General features: G+C 39.5%; 1 annotated feature.

Annotated features, from left to right (window-relative positions):
- Nucleotides 533-1,788: an enhancer, noted in NCBI's record as "VISTA enhancer hs240". NCBI's record gives its function as "enhancer in: forebrain[7/7]" and the evidence as "EXISTENCE:transgenic organism evidence [ECO:0001131][PMID:17130149]".

Here is a 7,970-nt window from a genome sequence, read left to right on the forward strand (position 1 = left end):
TTGCTATGTAAGGTAACATATTCACAGGTTTGGGGAATTAGGCCATGGACATCTTTGAGGGCATTATTCTGTCTGCCAAAGCATTTCTGTATGATCATTTTAACTTGAAATTGTATGCAGGCACATTCTGCATGTGCAAACTACGACAATTCGATACAAACAGATTATGGCTTTTTCAACAACTGCAAACCCATAGATATCATGCTAAGAAAGAACTTAGCAAAGTACAGTCAGCTACTGGTGGAAACAAAATGTGTCTATAGTTTGTGCATTTGCACTCTCGATGTTCTCTAATACCAGATTTGGCCATGAGGTAAAACAACTGGTTTTACTACATCTTTTCATAGGCAATTGATTGATGTTAAAAATAATTCCCATGTATGCAGGTTCATTGTGAGAGCACTGTCTGCATATGTATGGAAATAAACTGTATGTGCAGTACAGTGCATAAAGCAGTGTGTTACGTGAGGTGATATTACACACACACACACACACACACACACACACACGAATCAGACACATAAATTCAAACTTCCAAGTTAATCCTGCCACCTACAAAAGCGTTCTCAGTTCATACAGAGTGTGAGATTAGTAATCACTATTTGACCGCCCCCATGTAGGCAGGGAAAAGGGGAAAAAACGAAACAACAAACCCTAAGATTCAAATGTGTTAAACCTATTTCATCTGTCAGATGGCAAAGGAATGATCAAGCTGCTGCTGGTTTTCGTTGATATGTTTAAGCTTTCTTATTCTGGTAGGGCACAGTAAGTTTTGCCTTTAATTTAAGATGTAGATTTCATTACAATGAACCTCCTGACATTAACAGAGGGCTTCCTTTTTAAAGCTTCACTTTAATTGCTATTCTCATTATTTTGCAAGCTTTTGCCCTAACATATCCCAGGGGTCTTGACAACATGCTTCTTCTCTTTTTAAAAAACTTCAAGGCCTGATTGTGATAAATTGTTAGGGGCTGTGAATAAACACTAGTTAAATTACAGTATCTAAAATAGCTAATAAGGGAACAATTTATGATGTGGAATTTAAAAGGAATCCCTAATTGCACTTCAGTTTGCTGCGAGGATGCGCCTTCTATAACATTAACAGCTATTTTGTTTTGTGAGCTGGCTCTGTGCCAGGGTTTGAGAGCTAATTGGAATTAGAATAACATTTCTCACAGGCCATTCATTTGCTCAGGCTGAGTACAAATTACTATGCAAGGGAGGCTGAGGGTTCCTAATGATACAGGATAATGATGTTTTATTCAGATTTTAACGAGGTGTAATCATTCTGGTTGAGAGAGAAAAAGATTAAGAGGGTGCAACAATTACCAATTTTTACAACTGATTAATCGCAAGCCATTACTTGTTCTTGGTCAAATAGGCATTATAATGACTATTACCATTTTCAGCTATTTTTAATGCAAATTGCATTAGCTTGTAAAACCTTGCCAACTATGCCACATAAATGATGTGCCTGAATGAGCCAGAGCAATGAAAGCATTAAAAAAAAATTCACTTTGACAATGTACAGAGGGAGGTTTGAGTGATGAGCACGTATTTCCAAAATGTTCAGACAGGGCAGGACGTTTCCAGCAGACAACACATTTGGCCTCAGCTGTTAGTAAAGAGCTGAAAGAGACACACACTCTGTCACCGAGAAAGTAAAGGGTAGTACTTCTGTCTTAGGTATGCATGGTGAAAAGTCCTCCCCATTCCATGTGCAAAGCTCTGGTTCAGAGTAACTAAACTTGACAGCTGTACAAGAAAAGGAAGCTTGTCAAATGGCATGCCAACTGTACACATGTGACATTTTTAATTTGGTTTCTTACTTCCTCAGAGGAAAAAAAACATGGCCACTAAGAAGCCGTGTCTTCGAAACACAAAAATGAAGAAGGAACAAGGGGTGGGTACATCAATTCTCTAAAAGTAGGTCTTTTTATAGGTGGTATGGTTTGAGCAACTATTCTGTGGTTTGGTGGTTTTCTTCATGTTTCTAACTGAAAGACTATTCCTGTCTGAGTGGATGAATTAAGAGGAAATACGAGCAAAGAGGAAAAGAAACAGCAACAGCAGCAACAAAAGAAGTGACTCCGCCATACAAAGTCAAGTGAGAAAACATCTGTTGGAAACAGCTACATAGGAGGAAATCGTAATCTGTTAATGGCTACTCCTGGGAATAGACAGCCATCCCTAGAAAGGTGCACTTGGGTGGACTTAGGGTGAGCAAGTGTGCCTTTTACAGCTGCTCTGTTATTATACACCGCTGTGGGTGGCCCTTGAGTTGTTAATTAACAAAGTGATGACTATCCATCATACTTTCAAATCCTTTCCAAATGATAGAAAATTAGCATGCTTCTTTATGATTCAGAGGCAAAATAAACTCTGTATTGCCTCTTACAACACGGACCCTCTCTGCTCCCCTAACAATAGGGAATGATTTGCACAGAGGCTGCTAAGTAGGATAACAGGTGTACACTTATGGGGCGGAAGCATTTTTCGTGCTCTGGGAAGAGAATAAGGGTATCTGATTTTATTGTTTCTTCCCAATTTTCAGAGTACCTTTCTTAGTAACTTAAATATCATCTTGTTCCTGCAGGGCAAGATGAATGCCATTTTAAATAAGCCCACCAACCACATGTATGACTAAATTGAAGAGCTTCACCTAAGTAGCGGTAGCTTCCAAACTGGAGTTAGTTGGGTAAATAAATAGATAACTGGCTGAGCACAGTGGCTCACGCTTAACACTTTGGGAGGCTGAGGTGCATGGTTCATTTGAGCTCTGTAGTTTAAGACCAGCCTCGGCAACATAGTAATATTCCATCTCTACCAAAAAAAATTTAAAAAAATTAGCTGGGCACAGTGGCTCACACCTGTAGTCCCAGCTACCTGGAGGGCTAAGACAGGAAGATTGCTTAAGCCTAGGAGGCGGAAGTTGCAACGAGCTGAGATCATGCCACTGCACTCCAGCCTGGGTGACAAAGTGAGTCCCTATATCAAAAAATAAAAAATAAACAGGAAATAGATAACTAAAATATCTGAAGTGCATAGCCTTTAGCCAAGGGCAGCCTTTGAACTGTTAACTTTTTAAATTTAAAGTACTGAGATTATGCTACTGCCATTTAAATGTGATTAATAAAGAATAATCTAGAAAAAAAGGATATCAATCATTTTTTAAAAATAAGTCTTCCTCTGTGCTCCCTCATATATTATTAGGAATGCTGAACCACTTTTTGGTGGATTTTTATTAAAACTATTGTAATAAATAAAATCTATTCAATATAAAATTTACTCTGAAAACCAGGACCAAGCTCCTTTGACTATTAATAAGTATTTGAAAAATATGTTAATAAGAAACAAATATAAACTTAGTTGTTATTCCCCATGTAAATCCTTTTCTGGATTTTTTTTTTGGCTACTGTGGTTTTCATTTCTTCAAAAATTATGTTAAATACAAATATAATTTGTATACATATATAGGTAAAATCAACAATTTTTAAAGTTATATTAATTATCATCAGTTAGGATGTAGATTCGGGATCTGAAACATAGAAGCTAAATTACTCTGAGACAAAAAACTAAATAGTAGATCTAAAATTATATTCTAATTTTCAGTTCATTGGGTCCCCACTAGGCCACATTTAAATCTTGAGAAATAGGACAAGCAAAATTAATAGTAAATATAAAATGAAGAGAGGCAAATTGATGATGCAGTTCCAAAAATATCAAAACTCTTACTCCACCTCCTAAATTATCCCTATTTCCTTTTCCGTATTTGAACAGCTTGCACATTTTTGCAAAAAGTGAATTTGGAAATAACCTGCTAACAGAATAACATTTAAAGAAAAGGATAGCAAGTTTTCATACATAAAGGCCATTGTTCTTTAAATACCAGATACCCTCAGATATCCTAAACCAAGGAATATTCTCTTTTCCTTGAGTGGTTTTGCTCTTGACCCTGGGACGGGCCTGGGAAGTCAGGAAGAAGCCTCCCATCACCAGGTAGGACCTGCTTCACCAGGTGCACCCACTTCATCAGGTAGCTGCAGTTCTTGCTGGGGACAAATAAAACAGACTCAGGGAAAATAAATCTAAGAAAGATTCAGAATACCTTTCCTTTCAAACTGAATACAATATTTTCTCGATTCTGTTTTCTTAATAAGTATCTCAGGCTGGACCGACATACCTGTTTCTCTCACATTTGAGCCACTCTAGCGACCCTCTCCCCCCAAAAAGAGAAAAAATCATCAAAATACACCTTTGGTTCTATGAACTGAGGTGGGCTTTAACAGCAAAATCTGGTTCCTGATGCTTTCTTGAAGCTAATAATTTATCCTTTTTCTGTTTCTAGTCACCACCACCACCCTCCCTGGATAAAAAGTAAAAAAGAAAAATTTCTCTTACATGGAGAAACCTGTTTATCACAATGATTGTCAGCTAGCTAAGAAAAAGCACACTCCTTTCCCCACATATTAAAGAAACAAGTATTTGTGTAAATGTTACTCTGGTTGCTGTGATGAAGGGGCTGGCTGCAGTCAAGAGCACCAAAGCCGTCAGATAGAAAATATCTGCTGTGTTGCTGAAACCAGGAGCTGACCCTTGGCTCTAATGGAGTAGTTATGCGCCATGATGACAACACAGGAACACAAGACAGGCAAGTTGGAGATCAGCACAAGAAGGGTTAATGAAACGCCCTTCACCATACTGCAGGGAGTTGCATCTGCAAAACCCTCAACCTTTGCCAGTTTTATTTGCATCTAGGAGAGGGGCTCCCTGTTATGAGGAAGTCTGCCCCCAAGACCTTTTACTTGGCCTTTCTCTGTTAATTCCAGCAATATGCAATAAGACCTGCCACCAAGAGGTGGCCAGAGGTGGAACGGCCAAGTAGAAATTTCATTTCCCAACCAAGGGAACATTTCAATTTCTAGGAAATCAATTGAGCTTCTATTAAAAACAAGGACACACCTATGTGCTTTCCGCAAATAGGCTGCTTCCTGTTGGAAGGCAGAAAGCTGCCCTCCCCTGAGCCTCCAGATGAGCTCTGATTTATCCCTCCTGCACCAAGAATCATGTGAGCTGAAAGGTCAGGCAGTTAAAGATTTATGCTTTGTTTTATAAGATTGCTCAGAGAGAGACTCTTTTCCCTCTCTTGTTTATTTTTTATCCTCCTCCAGCCTGTTGTCCATTTTTTCTGCCGAAGCTAGACCATAGAAAAGGAAATGGGAAAATGCCTTGTAATATGAGCCCAAGAGCTTGCTGTCTCCCCAGATGGCAGGCTGTGTTGAACCAATGAGGGCAACCCCCGTGGCCGGCCACCACAACCCACCCAGAGAGGGGCACATGCATCAGTGCGCCTTGTAAATCTTTTTTAACCTCAGTTCTGAACTGGGATTTATTTGTTTTTCTAGGCAGATGGATCTGGCTCTCTCTGGGCCTTACAAAATGATCTGTCACTGTCTACCTTAATAACCTACAGCAGTCTGTAATAAAGTCAGCTTGCCCGGTCTAGCAAGTGGACGCCATAGCTTAGATCATATTAGGTCTTTTTTGTTTATTAGACATCTATCTTGGGCTGCCCAGGCATTGGTCTTTTCTCAAGTATACACCCCTATCTCCCACCACGGGAGAGCCATCTGAGCAAGGCATTGTAGAGGATGAAGGTTATGTGTGTTTATTACCTGCTTGCTGGGTGTGATCTTTTATGTTTATTACTGACATGGTAATATTTGGGGAAACAACCAGCCCAGACCTGATAGGTGAGAATGAGTTAAAAATCTTAAGAGCTTACACATTTTTAACCAATGTGTATCTTACCAATCTCATTTGCTTCTCGCCAAATCTGTCTCTCTTTTCCTATTTAATATAATCGTGACCCTATGAACAGAGCTAGAAACAATCAGCATGTTTTGAGTTTTCTCTGTTCCCCTTATATCAAGTCAGTCCCATTTCTTACTGATTAAGCCTGAAAAATGTCCGTGCCTCACTGCAGCCCTCCAACATGTCTCCTGGGCTTACTGTGATAACCTCAGATCTATCTTCCCCGCCAGTCTATGTCCCCCCTCTTTAATCTATGGATCCCAACACAGCATCCTGATCCAGAAATCATCAATGCCTAATCTTTTATTCAATGTAAAGTCCCAAATCCTTACAATAGCATCCCCTTCACTGGCTAGACTCATTTGCTATCCACTCCCTTCATGCTCATACCCATGAGCTTGCTCCACTCCCCGTGCACCCTCCTCAACCTTTCCAGATCTCCATACATCTACTGCAGTTTTTCTATCTAGAATTCCCATTGTCCTTCCCTTAACTCAGAAGAAACAAAAATAGCCATTTCTATAAGATCTACTTCAAAAGTCATCTTCTCCATTGAGCATTCCTCAGCACCTCCAAGAAGAGTGAATCTCTTTTTCCTGTGATGCCTCTTTATTCATTCTGCAAGGAGGCATCTATACCTCTGCATCATAGCAAGTTGCAAGCATTTCTCATTTCCCCCATGCCAGACTTAGAATTATTTGAAGTCAGAGCATGTCTTATTTGTATCTCTACCCCTAGCAATGGGCCCAGTATTTAGCCATTGAAGTTAGAATTCTCTGATAAGCTGCAAGAGCATGACAAGTTGATTAGGTCTCTGAATGTACTTGGCTTTGCAAAAGGTCACTTAAGGAGAATTATGTAGATATACCCTATAATATTTTCTAAAGGCTTATAATCTAAATCAGGTTCAGGCACTTCAGTTTAGACTGAACTTGGTCCCTCTCTATAACATCTCTTCTACCCTTGTAATGTTTAAATATTATAATAGCAAATTTTAAGTCCCAAGACTTGCAATGACCTTGTAGAGGTCAGCTGTTGCTTTTGTGGCTTCCTAGCATCCACTGCATATTCTCTTGCTGAAAGTATTCAGAGTTCTTTGGGGAACTTACTAGCTTGCTCTTTGTGTACATTCCGCTAAGGCTGTTAAGCAAGGTTCTGAGTCCTGTTCTAACCACAGTGGTGGCATATGCCTCATGCCAACCAGAGGATACCCTCCTAGAATTTGAATGTTGAGCCCTGGAGTAAAGAGACTTAAAAGTGTTGAAGATAATTCATTTAAACAGAGCTTGAAGAGCCTTTTGAAAACTTGTTGCTAGTTAAACACAAGGAACTACTGTTTGTTTCTGAGCCAAGCTGTACAGAATTCCTGTTAATTCTGTGAAGTACAAAATATCCAATATCATTTCTATCCTATTTTTTGCTCAAGTTATCCAGGTTGGCTTTTATGGCTAGTCAAAAGAAAGCCCAGGCTGGGCACAGTGGCTCACATCTGTAATCCCAGCACTTCGAGAGGCTGAGGCAGACAGATTTCTTGAACCCAGGAGTTCAAGACCAGCTTGGGCAACATGGGGAAACTCCATCTATATTAAAAAAAAAAAATTAGCCAGGCATGCTGATGTGTGCCTGTAGTCCCAGCTACTTGGGAAGCTGACATGGGAGGATTGCTTGAGCCTGTGAGGTTGAGGCTGCAGTGAGCTGAGATCACACCACTTCACTCCAGCCTGGGTGACAGAGCAAGACCCTGTCTCAAACAAACAAACAAACAAACAAACAAACAAAACCCAGTTCAAAAGCATCCTCGATTAATAAAAATATATTAAACCCATTTACTATAGTCTAAGTGTTAATTCTATTATGTTATGCCCATTGGTTATATCCCAATTGGTGAGCTAGGTATGATATATAGGAAGTCTTCGTTACGATCCAATTCTAGATATAGCCAAAATAATTCATGCCTAAAAATCACTTACAGGTAACTTGAAGTCATGAAAGATATACACAAGATTTATTCCAATCCTCCCATCCCTCAAGAAGTAACATAAGCTATTTTCTTGATACACATGGAGTTTCTTTAACGTTGACTCATCTAACCTTTTTCATGTATACTTTTGTCCCCTGCTCCAATGCAGCAATGATATCAAACAGTAAGGGCACTA

Source organism: Homo sapiens, chromosome 9 (assembly GCF_000001405.40).
Source record: "Homo sapiens chromosome 9, GRCh38.p14 Primary Assembly".
NCBI lineage: Eukaryota > Metazoa > Chordata > Mammalia > Primates > Hominidae > Homo > Homo sapiens.